Below are 15809 nucleotides of genomic sequence, written 5' to 3'. Positions count from 1 at the left end.
AGTGGTCATTTTCAGGCGTTTGCATGAGGAAATATTTGGTGAACCACCCCCTCTCCCTACACACACACCCTGGCAAGGCTGGCTGTGCTGATAGGCAAGGGTGCAGGGCTGCCCTGACCTAAATAGGAGGTAGGTAATGTTCCCTTTGCAGCCCCCCTTCTCATTTCTCTAACATCCAAGGCATCTGTTATATTTGCTGCATCCAAGGTCCCCACATAAAAGAAGCGTTGGACCCCTTCCATTCTCCTATCATGACTTTGGGTGACTTTCCTCTGCTAGTTATGGCAAAGCAATTTGCCTAATCTGTGAATGGGCTAATGCACTCCCACTCCCAGGTAGAATACTTGTGTTTGAACAAGAACCTCCTGAAAATGATGCCCTGACACAATGGGAGAGCTGGAATTCGAGGAACGCAGGGTGGGGCTGCGGAGATATTTGGGGACGTGAGTCAGGGACCCCGCACATCAGACCTGCAGAAACCAAGCCCTCCGTCTAGGTGGTGAGGATCTGTTTCATGAACTGGAGCCTGAAGTGGCTCTGAGGCCTCCCCTGGAAAGGAACGCAATAGAACAGAATTAATCAAAACGGGAGGCCAGGAGGAGGAGGACAGGAGGGGAAAATTGCTGGCGGGGAAGGAGGAGGACAGGAACAAAATAAAAAAGCAGGAGGTGGAGTTTGCTCACTGACTAAAATCATTTTCTGTACGGAGCCAAGATCGACTCATCCGTTGGAATTGATATTTTGCTCCTTCATATTGTCAGACTTATTTGTGGCTCCGAGTAGCACTCCTTGATGTCAGCTTTTGCCGGAAAGTTTCAAGACCTTTCAGGGCAAGGATCAGAAGAGCAGGAAGCATGAGAGTGATGAATAAAACTTGAACTTGGCTGCCTTCCATAAAGCACAGTGGCAGCTTCACCAGATGCAGCTGGAACTTTAATTGGTTAAATTTTAATTGGCTCTGCTCTTGTGGGCTAAGGGTTGGGCAAGGAAAATGTGTTTTGTTTGTTTGTTTGTTTGTTTTTTGCTTTTCCTAAAGCTTAACTGTCAGGCAGCCTTCTTTGGTCACCTTTGAAATGGTGGGATGGCAAAGGGGCTATTTTATGTTTTACATTTTATTTTTATTTTTGAGACAGGGTCTGGCCCTGTCACCCAGTAGCAGGATCTCAGCTCACTGTAGCCTCAAACTCCTGGGCTCAGGTGATTCTCCCACCTCAGCCCCCTGAGTAGCTGGGACTATAGGCACACACTACCACACCTGTCTACTTCTGTGGGCTTTTTTTTTTCTTTTGTAGAGCTAGGGTTTCATCATGTTGCCCAGGCTGGTCTCAAAATCCTGGGCTCAAGCAACCAGCCTGCTTCAGCCTCCCAAAGCGCTGCGACTACAGGTGTAAGCCACTGTACTGGGCCAAAGGGGCTATTTTAATACTGATTTTTCTATTGAGGAAATCTTACAGCTGGGTGGTTGGTGGTATTCATTTCTCATATGACCTTGCTTCAGAGTTTAACATCTTACCAAACATATGTCTATTTCTACAAGTATTTAGGATGCACTGGTGTTACCACTTTGCTTTTCCTGGTCACTGTTGTGAAAATTAACCAGGGGTTGAAGCTACATCATTTTAATTAAGTGGGCTGCCTAAAGCCTGGCCTCGACATGAATTTCAAGGTCACCATGGGTGTTGTGAGAGCTTACTGCCTAATTCACATCTGGGAGTGGCGGGCTAGTTCTTGCCCTTCCTTTCCATCTCTGCTCTGTTGTGACCTGAGGCGTGAAGGGGAGGCTGGGTGGCCCTGCCCTGTGCCCCTTCCAACCTCTAGACACACTCCACTCCTTTTCTCCAGTGCTGTGAACACCTCAGGGCTGGGAAGGGGCCTGGGCCCCCACTGGGACGTGCAGAAAGCACCATTTGACTAACCATGCCCTTCCCGCCTCTCTGCTCTTTACAGAATGGGTTGAATGGCTTGCATCTGGCTTCTAAGGAAGGCCATGTGAAAATGGTGGTTGAACTTCTGCACAAAGAAATCATTCTAGAAACGACAACCAAGGTATGTCTCACAGGGAGTGGGGGAGCTTTGCATTGAAAATTCAAGTTTGTGAGTCCTTCCTTAGAAACCAGTCCTTCATGAGAGAACTCAGGCATGCATCTGAATTTCTCTTATCCTTCCAATCACTTTTTAGTTCTCTGAATCCCTGAAGCTGCCTGAAACAGACCCCATTTCCAGAAAGATTCAGTGGGCCTTTATCCTCATCACTAGGTTACGTATCTAAAAATAGAGCCCTTTCCTGATGGCTTTATACTTTCTCAGGGTCCTTGACTCGAACTCAGTGTCCAAGGGCTCTGGAAGCGCCAATCAGGTGCCTGGAGTCGAATCCCAGCAGACATACTTCACGCTCTGTGACCTGGGACGAGTTACTTGGCCACTGTGAAGCCTCAGCTTCTTTGTCTGTAAAATGGAGATAATAATACTTAGTTGCAGGGTTGGTATGAAAAGTAAGTGAGATGGCATACATCAAATGCCTGGATGTATTTATTGGATGGATGCATTTACTACTTATTGGATGCATTTATTGATTATTGGATATATTAATTGATTACTGATTCCTGTAGTAAGGAATCAATAAATACTAGTGACCATGTTGTTACTGAAGGTTGTAGAGAAGAATCCAGATTTCTTTCATTTCTCCTTCTCCAGCAAGTCTTCCTTGTTCAGCCCCAAACTGATTTCCTCTCCTCGCTAACGATCTGGAACAGCATTCTGTTTCATGAGGAGGCGTTTGGCATGGGGCGACGCCAGGCATCCACAGTAACGTATTTCACTCCATTTCAGTAGATTATAAATACCAGTGACTCAACTTCAAAATCCCAGAGTCATGAAATTGATACATCTATAGATTGCAAAATAAGTTTCATTTTTTACCTGACATGCATCTTATTTATCAAACAAGATGCAGCCAGCAATTAAAAATAAAATGAAACAGACTGGGCGCGGTGGCTCACGCCTGTAATCCCAGCACTTTGGGAGGCTGAGGCGGGAGGATCACTTGAGGTCAGGAGTTTGAGACCAGCTTGGCCAACATGGTGAAACCCCGTCTCTACTAAAAATACAAAAATTAGCCGGGCGTGGTGGCGGGCGCCTGTAATCCCAGCTACTCAGGAGACTGAGGCAGGGGAATCGCTTGAACCCTGCCTCAAGCGGAGGTGGAGGTTGCAGTGAGCCATGACTGCACCACTGCACTCTAGCCTGGGTGACAGAGTGAAACTCCATCTCAAAAATAAATAAATAAATAAATAAAACGAAACAAGGCTGGACGTGGTGGCTCATACCTCTAATCCCAGCACTTTGGGAGGCCGAGGAGGGGAGATCATCTGCGGTTAGGAGTTCGAAACCAGCCCAGCCAACATGGCGAAACCCCATCTTTACTAAACATACAAAAATCAGCCAGTCGTGGTGGCACAGGCCTGTAATCCCAGCTACTCGGGAAGCTGAGGCAGGAGAATCGCTTGAACCCAGGAGGCGGAGGTTGCGGTGAGCCGAGATCGCGCCATTGCACTCCAGCCTGGGTGACAGAGACAGACTCCCTCTCAAAAATAAATAAATAAAATGAAACAAAAAATCATCTCCATTTGCTAACTCAAGTACTGTCTCCCCAGTTACTGTTTTCTCTTCTCTTCCCTCCTCTGTTCCTTTCCCATGTTTTTCTTCTGGAGTTCTTTCCCCCTAGCCTCTTATTTTCCTTTTGGTATATATTACACGTGGTCTCACACACAACCTCAATTTCAGTTCCATGCAGCAAACAGTTTGCCGCCTCTCAAGCAGAGAACATAGAAGAACAATATGTAGAGAACAGATATAATTTATGGTTATGAAGTGAACTACCAAAATATTATGAAGGTAGAATCATCTCTTGAGGTAAAATTCTGTAATTTTCATGTCATTTCCTGAATGTGAAAAGATCTTATTGCACTTATGGGTAAAATAAACTGAGTTGCTCTTTCTGACTGGATACGGGGTATTTTTTTCCCAAATTCTATGTCAAATTCCAATTGTTCCCACCCTGCTTTTCGTGTGGATGAAGGGTGAGATTATTTTCTCTGCACACTCCCACGTACCTGGCTGTGAGCTGTGTGCCATCTGACCTGCCCCGCGTGTGCCGGAGCGGCGCCTGCCCTGGCGTGCCTTCAAGGGCTGCGGAAACACGAGGCTTCAGCGCTTCGACTGTTTCCGAATCTCCTCCCCAGGTTGTGATTTTGCAAGTGAACACTTGGTGTGTCTTTTTTATTTTTAGAAATTTTCTAAGCCAACGTGGCTTTGGAATACCATCCAGAGAGAGGGGGAAAAAAAGGTGGAACTGAAACCGTGGGCTGGGGAAGAGTCACAACAGATTGGGGACTGTGATGGGGCTCCCAGGCAGCAGAAAGATGAAAAAAAAAAAAGAAGAAAAAGAGTAAAAAGCCAAAACCAATTTAGATTCCTAAAATGTACTTAGAAATTTTAAAAGCACAAAACAAACGCATTCTCTCCCCATCCTCCTATCTCCAGCTCTTAGAGACTGGAGCTCAGCACCTAAGCTGTTAATGAATGGGGACAGCTTTCATCTCCACTGGAAAAAAGCCTGCTCTCTCACTTGGGGTCCCTCTCCCCCTTCCACTTGCATTCAATCAGCACCCATGCAACCATCCTCCCTGCTCTGAGCTCTGTGAGCCCCTGAAAATAGAGAAATTGGGTGTTTGTGGAGCAAAATATAGCTAAGTAATTTTTCCTGCTCCTTTGAGGCCATGTTCTTTCATGGTGAGGGAGGGGCAGAGAAAATAGAGGCTCACAAATCCCTTTTCCTGTGACTCCCACAACTTAGGCCAGGGGCCTTCTTGAGCCTCATAATGTGTGTGTGTAGATAGGGGAAAGGAGGTCCACTTCCAGAATTTTCCCTGTGTTCTTATTCCTCACTTATGCTACCGTTGGCTCAGCTGGCCCGAACCAAGATCCATAGCCAGGTTTCCATCACTGATGAGCTCCCCAAAACAGGGTGACCTTCCCCTCCTCGTGGGGTAAGGAAAGCTCTCATATCATTGGACTTCAGGCAGGAAGGGTCAGTTGGAAAGAAACCTTTGACGTGAGCCTCTTGATGTCTCCATGGCCTCTGTGCCTCCATGCTGGCCCAGGCCTTCTGTGCTTATGCCCAGGAAGCATGTGGCCAGTGAATGAATGCACCCAGGATGCCTCCTTCTTTTCCATGGGAGCCCAGAAGATGCCACTTGGAGCTCAGCGTCCTGGTGTCTAGAAAAGTTTCTGGTGCCAGCAGTGCTGCTCCATTTGGTACAGCAGGTGCCAAGCCTCTCAATGGAGGCTCTTTGGACTTCTATGAAAAATTATTAATGAGCTTCCAGACTTTCATATCTGGCATTTATTCTCCAATGGATACCTGAGGAAAAACCTTTTTCTTCATCAAATAGAACTTGAGGAGAAATCAAAAAGACAACTTCAGGAGGCAACAGATGGGAAGTGCCTGCCTTTAAACAAAACAAAACATAAACAGGCTTTATGCCTTTAAAAAAAAAAAAAAAAGAAAGAAAAGACAGACAGACTGGGTCTCACTGTTTCCCAGGCTGGTCTTGAACTCCTGGACTCAAGCAATCCTCCCGCCTTGGCCTCCCAAAGTGCCAGGATTACCAATGTGAGCTGCTGCACCCAGCCCCAGGCTTTATGCTTGAATTACCAGGCAGAGTACAAGAAACAGAACTGAGCTGCTTCCCAGCCCCCAGGGCGGCCTCATGGGGCTGCCTCCCTGACCCGGGGAAGCGGGGTCAGCAGCGGCTGGGGGGCCACACGGCTAGGCCCCAGGCTGCTCCCTTCCATCTCAGTGAGGAAGCTTTTCCTCCAGGTGACAGGAGCCACTGGGCAAGGTCAGAGTCCAAAGTCCCTGCTTGTCAGTTCTTAAGTTTCTTGAAATGGATTAGTTAATGATTATGTAGTTTAGTAAAAAGAACTACATACTGTCTAAACTCTAAAAATGAGGTTGTTTGAGATCTCTGCTCCTTAAGTAGTGCAGGGACAGATGGGTCCGACCATGGACCTATTTTCTCCACTCGCCCTATTTGACAGAAGCATGGAGTGGAGGCTGCCCGCCCCTGCCCCTCAACTCCCTGAATGGGGGCTCAGGTGCAGGGCACCCAGGGGAGTCCACCCCCAGAGGCAGTGCTGACATTGTGGTCCAGGACCCCCAGGGGCTGGCAGGAGCCTGGCTGGAAGGCTGTGGGTATCCCGGGAACAGATGGAGGCTGCTGGTCCTGTCTGTGAATTGTTGTTTAATATCAAAAAAGAATCCAGACAAGAAAACCGGAGAATGTTAAACTCATGTTCTCAGGCCCATGCCTGTAATACCAGAGTGCTGAGAGGCTAAGACAGGAGACCAGCCTGGACAACAAAGTGAGAGCCCATCTCTACAAAAAAATTTAAAAATTGGCTGGGCACGGTGGCACACGCCTTAGTCCCCACCTACTTGGGAGGCTGAGGTGGGAGGATCGCTTGAGCCCAGGAGTTGGAGGCTGCAGTGAGTTATGATGGTGCCACTGTGCTCCTGCCTGGGTGTTAGAGCGAGACCTCCAATTCTAAAAACAAAATAAAACAAAACAAAAACTCACTTTCTCAGAACCTGCCTTATTTCTCAGTCTCTGCTATTGGTTCTTATCTTTTACAAAGTTTAAAACAATTACGTGCCTGGTTTTCCTCCAGTGTTTATTCTCTCCAGTTTTTCTCTCCTCTTGGATTTGGTGAACCCTTACTCATTACATTTTGCTTACTAGTATGTTGCATATTCTTTGTATTTTTCTTGGCCAGATTGTATTCCATTTATTACCCCCCATTTATTTTCTGATTTTTCTTCTCTTCCCTACATACATCATAGAGTTGATCTTACCCTTTCCTTTTCTGTATAATGCTTTCCTCACTCTCCTGCCTCCCATCTCTTTGTCCGCTCCACTGCAGCTTGTGGTCTGTGGGTATCCCTGGGATGGCGTCAAAGGTATGGGCCTGAGGGACCTGCTGGCCTCCTTTCCTGGCGCTCCCAGGCCTCTCAGAGGGCTTGTTGCCTTGCAGAATTGCAGGCTGAGCGGAGCTGCAGGTCCGCGGAAGGCCAGCTCGCTGACAAGCCTTCCAGTGTGTGTCCTGAGGGACGCCAACGCGCTGTCTGCTGGGGACAGGACGCTGCACGCACACAGCAGATTAGATGTTCAGAAGTTGTGTGTTGGCGGGGGGTGTTTTTTTCTTTCAGTATTATTTTTCTTTTATAAAAATTTTTTATTTTTAATTATTATGGATACATAATAGAAAAAAAGGAGTTCCTTTGACATGGCCGCACTCTCCTTCAACCGCACATCTCAGTGTCACCTGCCCCCTTCCTGCGCCACTCCAATCACACCAGCCAGTGCTGGTGGTCTTCTTTTTAAATGTTTTTCTTTTTATAGATTGAGGGGGTATGAGTGCAGCTTTGTTCCATGGATACATTGTGTAGTGGTGAAGCCTGGGCTGTTAGTGTGGCCATCACCCGAAGAGTGGGCATCCCATCCAAAGGATAATTTCTCATTGCCCCCACCTCCCACCCTCTGAGTCTTCAGTGTCTCTCCACTCTCTGTATGTCCACGTGTGCACATTATGTAGCTCATACTTACGAGTGAGAACATGCAGTATTTGACTTTCTGCTTCTGAGTTGCTTCATGTAAGTTACTGGCCTCCAGTTCCAGCTGAGTTGCTACGGAAGACCTGATTTCCTTCTTTTTTATGGCTCTTGCAGCATTGTTTGTCATAGAGAACAGGCTGGATCTTCCTCCCTGTACTTTCAGTATGATTTCAGGATGTGCAATGGGTCAAGCACACACGTGTGTCCTTTCTACCCCTTTTGGCCATGAAGAAAGCCCCCGGGTCCCTCAAGCAGCACCTGTCCACAGACCTTTGCTGGTCCCGTAGCGGGCCCAGTGGGAAACCGCCTCTGTTCCCTTCCCCCATGTGTTTCAGAAGGGGAACACGGCCCTGCACATCGCTGCTCTAGCCGGGCAGGATGAGGTGGTCCGGGAGCTTGTCAACTATGGAGCCAACGTCAACGCCCAGTCACAGGTAATGGCTCTCTGGTCTGGACTAGAGGGTGTTGCCTTTCCACAGGTGGTTCCTCTTTGCTGCTCCCTCGTGGGTCCATTGGCAGCCGTGTTAACACACACACTACTGTGGGGCAGGGCCTAGATTTCTCAGGAGCATGTCTCTGAGCAGTGGTGAAGGTGTCCTTTATTATTTCGCATGCATAGACCGCGTGTCCTAAGCATGACGGGGTTGAATTGTTTTGGACCTAAGCCAAATAGTATGTCCAGTTGTAGCCTAGGTGGAGAGAGAAACTGAGGACTGGGGGAATGAGGTGTGCAGTGCAGCATTGATGAAATCAATGAGGAGTATGTGAGCTGAAGAGACTGACCTACGGTGGCGAGGGGAGGCACAGCCTCTGTGGCCTTTTGTAATAATCCCAGGACGCCAGTCACCATGACAATGAGTTTCCTTAGGAGGGGTCAGGTGGGAGGAAATGGAATGAAGAGAGCGCTGTCCTCCAGGTGAGAGGACGTTGTGCTGGTGTAGGCCTTTCTTAAATTGCGGGTGGATGCTAATGATGTCCTCTCTTGGTTTACAGAAAGGTTTTACACCCCTGTACATGGCAGCACAAGAGAACCACTTGGAAGTGGTTAAGTTTTTACTGGAAAATGGAGCTAACCAGAATGTAGCCACAGAAGTAAGTACCTTGGAAAAATGTCGTCACCACCAGAAGTCTCCCAGGTGTACAACCTTGCTTCAGGTGACACCTACCTGGGATGTGGCTTGGGGTGCATCCATGTCATGATGGATGACCTTCAGGTCGCTGCACTAATCCAGAGTGCTGTCAGGTTCTGCAAGGGACTAATGACAAAGTCATGGGTCTTGAAGAAGGCCCAGACACGTACCAAAGAAACGACGTCACACTTGAGGGTGTCCTTCCCGCTGTGGCCAATACTTGTGACTGGAGGGGGCAGGCGAAGCATGCATGTGTATGGTTGGCAAGTTTGCATTGGGCCTTAATGAGAAAGGCTCTTGCCACAAAACCACCATGCACCCTTGGACAAGTCTCATTAGCTATGGTCCTGAGTCTTGTCATTGGTGAAATGATGAAATTGGACTAGATAGAGCCAAGGAGTCTCTTGACTCTTAACTTTGGATGGCTCAATGACATGACTTTGTTGTCATTCCGTTTTATCAGTTCCTGCGGTCCTGTGCCCTTTAGTATGTCCACAACTGAGGGAATTAATAATAGTAGCTCATGGCCAAGCGCAGTGGCTCATGCCTATAATCCAACCGCTTTGGGAGGCTGAGGTGGGAGGATCACTTGAGGCCAGGAATTCAAGACCAGCCTGGGCAACACAGCAAGACCCCGTCTCTACAGAAAAAGAAAATTAGCTGGGTGTGGTGGTGTGTGCCTTATTCTTAGCTACTTGGGAAGCTGAAGTGGGAGGATCACTTGAGCCCAAGAGGTTAAGGCTGCAGTGAGCCATGATTGCACCACCATACTCCAACCTGAGTGACAGAGTGAGACCCTGTCTCAAAAATAAAATAATAATAATAATAATAGCTCACAATTGAATTATCAGGGCCTGGTGTGGACTCTGGCCTTTGGTCGGTGTTAGTAATGTTCTGCCTTGTCAAGGCACTATCCTGGTACCAGCAGATGGGGTGAGAAAGAGAGCCGGCAAAGAATCTGAGCAGTCAAAAGTTTCTTAAAACAAGTCAAACTGGAAGCAAATTATAAAGGAAAACTAAATTAATGCTAAAGAAAAATTCGGCAGGCTCTGTGAGATTGCAGAGAAAGGAAGTGGAGGCAGGAAGGGCTTCAGGGAGGAGATGGCATTTAGGCTAAACTTGGCGGATGAAGAGGGCTTTGGTGGAGGTAGGTCCCTCAGGCTGGGGCTGCTGGGAGCATAAGCCCGAGGGGCAAGGGTGTGTCCCGTGTGAAGGGCGGCTGGCGTCAGACGAGTCAGAGCAAAGCATTTTCCTCCTCTGGCCAGGACGGCTTCACGCCTCTGGCGGTAGCCCTGCAGCAGGGCCATGAGAACGTCGTCGCGCACCTCATCAACTACGGCACCAAGGGGAAGGTGCGCCTCCCGGCCCTGCACATCGCGGCCCGCAACGACGACACGCGCACGGCTGCGGTGCTGCTGCAGAACGACCCCAACCCGGACGTGCTTTCCAAGGTGAGGGCGAGGAGGAGGGAGGAGCCTTGGGCCGCGGACGCCCGTGGGCTCAGGGGGCACCGCGCACGCCCAGCGACTTCCCAGGCAGGAGAACCGAGCGTGCAGGGCGGGCAGTGCGCACTGAGCGCCCTCACCCCAGGACGCAGAGGGGCCCCTGGACAGCCCCGCTCTAAATCCCTGGCAGATGCCCAGAAACGTGCTCTTGGTGAGCAGCGGGGGTGGTTCCTGTTGCTCCAGGTCATCTGGAAATGTGTCCAGGCGGGCAGGGCGGGTCACCCTGGAACCCCAGGAGGCGGCCTTCCTGATGTTCCTTCATCTCTCCTCCCCGGCTGCCCCGTAGTGGAGGGAGGAGGCGTGCAGGGGCTGGGGTGTGGAGAAAGGGGGTCCGGGACCTTGCACGCCTGCGTGCACCTGGGCACGCTCTCCGGTGTTCGGAGGCACTGCTGATCTGCTGTCTGTAGGCTGAGGCTGCTGGTTTTCTTTTAGTGGAAATGGATTTACTGGAGTTATTCAAAGTCCCCTCCTGCACCCCGCCCCTCCCCTCTTCCACCGGCCCCAGATCCACCGGGTTTTGTCTGGAAAACACCTGGGTGGGGTTAGGCCTGCCTTCAGGCTCTGGAACAGAATGATGACAATGGACGGAGGTTGAGGCAGGAGGATGGTTTGAGCCCAGGAATTGGAGACCAGCCTGGACAACATAGTGAGACCCTGCCTCTAAAACATTTTTTTTAAAATTAGCTGGGCATGATGGTGTTCGCCTGTAGTCCCAGCTACTGGGGAGGCTGCGGTGGGAAGATTGCTTGAGCCCAGGAGGTCGAGGCTGAAGTGAGCTGTGATCACATCACACTGCACTCCAGCCTGGGCAACACAGTGAGACCCTGTCTAAATGGGAGGAAAAAAAGACCATAGCCCCATTACACTTTCATTCATGAATGAAAATCTCTTTGTCGGTGATCACTCTGACGAACGGGCCCACAGAGTCTGAGGTTAACATATAATTCGGGTTGCTCAGGGCAGACCCCCAGCTTTTGAATACACTGTGCCATAAAGCCTCTCTTGACCCCCTCACCAAATGTTCCCACCCATCAAAATCTCCTTTGTCTGTAAAGTCCTGTTGCCCCACCTGAGTTTCCTGCATCCCAGGGCTGATTCTGAGATAGAAGTAAATCACATATAACAAGTTTCTCCCCCTCTGTTGTGCCCCAGACGGGATTCACGCCCCTGCACATTGCGGCTCACTACGAGAACCTCAACGTGGCCCAGTTGCTCCTCAACAGAGGAGCCAGCGTCAATTTCACACCACAGGTAACCCTGGGGCACGTGCGCCCTCACTGTCCGGGGGCTTGGGGCTGGCAGTTGCTCCTGCCTCGGCACCATGGGTTTCATCCCAGTGGCAGAAGTGCCTGTGGGTTAAACAGCCCTGCTGTCTGGTCGGGCTCCTTGCTGGCAGGTTTCTGATCATCTACCCCCCAGTTTCCACCTGCTTTGTCTTGAGAAAACCCTAAACTCCATTTGCCCATCCTAAAAATGGGAAACCTGGAGGGCAGAGAGTGATTTCCATATAACTGACTTTCCTGCAGTCTGTTATGTTGACTCTGGGAGGCATGGGCTTGGGTGGTGTGGTGGGATGACCCATCCTGTTGGCAGGTCCTTTCAGGTTTTAAAATGTCTTAGGCCGGGCGCGGTGGCTCACGCCTGTAATCCCAGCACTTTGGGAGGCCGAGACGGGCGGATCACGAGGTCAGGAGATCGAGACCATCCTGGCTAACACGGTGAAACCCCGTCTCTACTAAAAATACAAAAATTAGCCGGGCATGGTGGCGCGTGCCTGTAGTCCCAGCTACACAGGAGGCTGAGGCAGGAGAATGGCGTGAACCCGGGAGGCGGAGCTTGCAGTGAGTCGAGATCGCGCCACTGCACTCCAGCCTGGGCGACAGAGCGAGACTCCGTCTCAAAAAAAAAAAAAAATAAAAAATAAAAAAAAATAAAATATCTTAGGCCAGAAATGCCCTGACAACGCTGTTGCAGGCCTGGGGACTGGGGGCTGGGGACAAGGGGAGCGGGTGCACAGCAGCTGCATTCCAGGGAAGGATGACGCGCCCTGACCGTCCTGCTTCCTCCCTTCAGAACGGCATCACGCCACTGCACATCGCCTCCCGCAGGGGCAACGTGATCATGGTGCGGCTGCTGCTGGATCGGGGAGCCCAGATAGAAACCAAGACCAAGGTGGGTGCCAGCAGGTGCTGTAGCCAGGCAGGGGGAGGGAGGTCCCCCCTCACAAGCCTCACCCAGAGCAGCGGGCCCTTGGTGACCTAGTTAGGGATGCACCACCAGCCTCCCGGAGCCGCCTGCAGCAGTATTCTGGGCAGTGCCGCGTGCAGTGGGAGGCAATAGTAAAACTGTGCTGAGGTCGAGCTGGTGCTTGAGGAAACGTCAGCACTTGCGTGGGCTGGGATGATGCCATAGGCAGTCTTCTCTCCAAATGGCCTCTGATAGCTGCCTTTTGGGCTTTCTGTTTTTGACTCTGTCTTTTAAAGGACGAATTGACACCTCTCCACTGTGCAGCTCGAAATGGGCACGTGCGAATCTCAGAGATCCTGCTGGACCACGGGGCACCAATCCAAGCCAAAACCAAGGTGTGTACTTCCTTCCTGTCAGGCGCATTTTCTAGACAGGGCTCCAGGTCCAACAGACCTGGCATCAAATCCTATTTCTGTAAAACAGAGATGCTAATACTACTAGATGAGATAGCACCTTTGACATTTATTACAAGGCCTATCACGTAGGAGACTCTCAGTGTAGCTCTAATGCCTAACTAGATCAGGGTCGGCAAACTTTTTATCTAAAGGACCAGGTATGAGACAATTTTAGGCTTTGCAGGCCGTGGTCCCTGTTGCAATGATTCAACACTGCCAACGTAGCAGAAAAGCAGCCACAGGCAATATGCAAACTAGGGCCCGTGTTCCAATAAAACGTTATTGACAAACACTGGTGGCAGGGCAGATTTGACTCACAGGTTGTGTAGTTCGCCTACTACTGCTCTAGATCAATCCCTATGTCTCTCTTCCTAGCTCCAGAAAAGACAGGCACTAAGTACTCTGAGAAGTCTTCAGAGCCTGGGCCAGACTGAAGCGAAGTTAAAAAGAAAAGAACACAGTTCTTCTCAGGTTCCATTACGGGCCAGAGAAAAGGCCCGTTACGTGGCTCTGACATAAGGACTCGAGTCTTCAAGGGGTGAAAGCTGTCAGCCACACTGCTGCCTGTGCCTGCTCTGGGCCCTCTGCCCCGTGAATTGAGCTGTGTCAGAGCAGAGCAAGGCAAAAGCCAGGCCCACTCACAGCTACCCAGGAGGTTTCCCACGAGCAGTTCTGTCATAAAATGATGGCTTAGACCATACAGTGAAAGCTGATTTATTCCCGACACATTATCATGTTCTGTTCTGTAGAGCTGTCGTTAATTTGGGTCATGATTCATAGTCCCCACACTGGTTCTTGGGTGTGTCTGTGTGTGCTGTTGCATGAGGGTGTCCTCTACTAAAGCAGTTTCTCATTTAGCCCTCCATCCTTGGCTGATTTGCCGTGTGACTATGAACGTGTGTCTTGCCCTCTCTGTGTTTCAGTTTCCTCATCTGGAGAGCCCCCACCCTCTCTCCTAGGATTATTGGGATGACCATGTGAGATAATGTCTTCAAAAGCTATCTAAAAGTAAAACTCCTCAGCTAAATGAAAGTAGAATTGCTACTATCAGTTAAATTATTAGAAAATTCCCAACATTTTTCCAGGAGTGCTGTATTTAAACATAATACATGGCCAGAAGTTAAGATTTTTTGTTTTATTATCCAGATCATTAGAATGGGGCTGAAAAGAATGCTTATGAAAATTCCTTACTGAGAATATGTGACTTTTCAATTGGGAACTATCGTACAACCTTTCTGAAATGCAAGTGTAACTAACTGAGTTAGCTCAGTCCACCTTAACAAAGAACCACATGCTGAGTGGCTTAAACAACAGAAACTTACTGTCTCACACTTCCAGAAGCTGGAGGGTCAAGATCAAGGTGTCAGCAGGGTTGGTTCTTTTTTTTTTTTTTTTTTTTTTTTTTTTTGAGATGAAGTCTCACTCAGTCACCCAGGCTGGAGTGCAGCAGTGTGATCTCTACTCACTGCAACCTCCGCCTCACAGGTTCAATCGATTCTCGTGCCTCAGCTTCCCGAGTAGCTGGGATTGCAGGCAAATGCCACCACGCCTGGCCTATTTTTGTATTTTTAGTAGAGATGGGGATTCACCATGTTAGCCAGGCTGGTCTCGAACTCCTGGCCTCAAGTGATCTGCCCACCTTTGCTTCCCAAAGTGCGGGAATTACAGGGGTGAGCTACAGTGCCTGGCAGGGTTGATTCCTTCTGAGGCTGTGAGGGAACATCTTTTCCAGGTCTCTCCCCGAGCTTCTGGTGGTTTGGGCACAATCTTTGGTTTCCTTGGCTTATAGGGCATCATGCTGACCTCTGCCTTCATCTTCATGTGACATTTTCCTGCTGTGCAGGTGCCCAAATCTCCCTGTTTCTAAGGACGCCAGTCATAGATTAGAACTCACACTAATGACCTCATTTTAGCTTATTATATCCCCGAAGATCCTGTTTCCAAACAAGGTCACATTCTGAGGTCCTGGGGGTTAAGACTGCAGCATGTGAATTTTGTGGGACCTAATTCAGCCTGTAACACTAACATCTGCTGTCATGGAACCTGATTTGCATCTTCCTTGATGAAAATCCTCTCATTTCCACTTTCTAAAAGCTGAAGTCCCAGGTCCTGAGCTCCTAGCCTTTCTTGGCGCAGCTCCAGCCTCCTCTCCAGCCTGACTCCATGCTTGGAATCACCTCACCCCGGACTGTCGAACTGCATGGAGGCCCCTGGGTTCCCCTAGGGTAGCTGCCTCTGTGATGTTGCACTTGCTGCTCCCTAGGATGTTCTTCCCCTTTGGTCCTCCTGGTGAACTTCCATTCAGCTCCTTTCAAGTCCTAGCTCAGGCCTCACCTCCTCCCTCCCAGTGCCCCTCCTTCATCAGGGACGCCATCTGTTTGTGCACAACTCTGTGCTTTGATCATCCCACTTCAGGGCGCTGAAAGACAACACCATGTCTGTCTACAAGCTTCCTTGGGTCAGGGGTTATGTCTGTTCTCTTCTGTTTCCCCAGAGCTTAACCCATACCAGGTGCACATTAATCACTTGATAGATATGTGTTGAATTAATGTCTAAGTGAATGAATGAGTCTCCTCTCTCTTTTATGTTTTTTAAACAAATTGCTGTTTGAGAAATGAGTATCCTTAACAGAATTTTCTTTAACTGAACTGCATTTGATAGGGACAAGGAACAGAGGGATTTAGATCCAAGTTCTATTTTATCATAATTCATTCATTCATTCATTCATTCAAAATCACATAATTTAGGGACCATGATGTGTGTTACATGCATGTATTTGGCACTGTGGGGCATTTAAGGAGAAATATTAGGCTAAGTCACTGATCTTAAGAGGCGTATAAATAAAGAGAAGAGATAC

General features: G+C 49.2%; 1 protein-coding gene across 5 annotated transcripts in view, besides 5 other annotated features; it reads left to right on the top strand.

Moving 5' to 3' along the window:
- ANK1 (ankyrin 1) overlaps window positions 1-15809 on the top strand; it is a 243517-nt gene that overhangs the window by 160725 nt on the left and 66983 nt on the right. For all 5 annotated transcript variants that reach the window (NM_001142446.2, NM_020477.3, NM_020475.3 and 2 more), the window contains exons 3-9: window positions 1948-2046; window positions 8011-8109; window positions 8669-8767; window positions 10071-10256; window positions 11463-11561; window positions 12384-12482; window positions 12794-12892. In NM_001142446.2, coding sequence (NP_001135918.1) covers window positions 1948-2046; window positions 8011-8109; window positions 8669-8767; window positions 10071-10256; window positions 11463-11561; window positions 12384-12482; window positions 12794-12892 — 780 coding nt within the window. The remainder of the gene's footprint in view (window positions 1-1947; window positions 2047-8010; window positions 8110-8668; window positions 8768-10070; window positions 10257-11462; window positions 11562-12383; window positions 12483-12793; window positions 12893-15809) is intronic.
- Window positions 59-1258: an enhancer, noted in NCBI's record as "CDK7 strongly-dependent group 2 enhancer chr8:41592277-41593476 (GRCh37/hg19 assembly coordinates)". NCBI's record gives its function as "activates an origin of replication core promoter dependent on BRD2, BRD4, P300/CBP, MED14 and CDK7 cofactors, with strong dependence on CDK7, by STARR-seq in HCT116 cells {active_cell/tissue: HCT116}" and the evidence as "EXISTENCE:reporter gene assay evidence [ECO:0000049][PMID:35650434]".
- Window positions 1236-1778: an enhancer, noted in NCBI's record as "H3K27ac-H3K4me1 hESC enhancer chr8:41591757-41592299 (GRCh37/hg19 assembly coordinates)". NCBI's record gives its function as "activates a minimal SCP1, AML or CMV promoter by ChIP-STARR-seq in primed H9 embryonic stem cells {active_cell/tissue: H9 hESC(primed)}" and the evidence as "EXISTENCE:reporter gene assay evidence [ECO:0000049][PMID:30033119]".
- Window positions 9723-10322: an enhancer, noted in NCBI's record as "H3K27ac-H3K4me1 hESC enhancer chr8:41583213-41583812 (GRCh37/hg19 assembly coordinates)". NCBI's record gives its function as "activates a minimal SCP1, AML or CMV promoter by ChIP-STARR-seq in primed H9 embryonic stem cells {active_cell/tissue: H9 hESC(primed)}" and the evidence as "EXISTENCE:reporter gene assay evidence [ECO:0000049][PMID:30033119]".
- Window positions 9723-10366: a biological region, named in NCBI's record as "Sharpr-MPRA regulatory region 1462".
- Window positions 10072-10366: a silencer, noted in NCBI's record as "tiled region #1462; K562 Repressive non-DNase unmatched - State 17:Gen3'". NCBI's record gives its function as "represses a minimal TATA promoter and a strong SV40 promoter by Sharpr-MPRA in K562 cells {active_cell/tissue: K562}" and the evidence as "EXISTENCE:reporter gene assay evidence [ECO:0000049][PMID:27701403]".

The sequence above is a fragment of the Homo sapiens genome, chromosome 8 (assembly GCF_000001405.40).
Source record: "Homo sapiens chromosome 8, GRCh38.p14 Primary Assembly".
NCBI classification, from domain to species: domain Eukaryota; kingdom Metazoa; phylum Chordata; class Mammalia; order Primates; family Hominidae; genus Homo; species Homo sapiens.
This window is presented reverse-complemented; position numbering and strand designations above follow the sequence as displayed.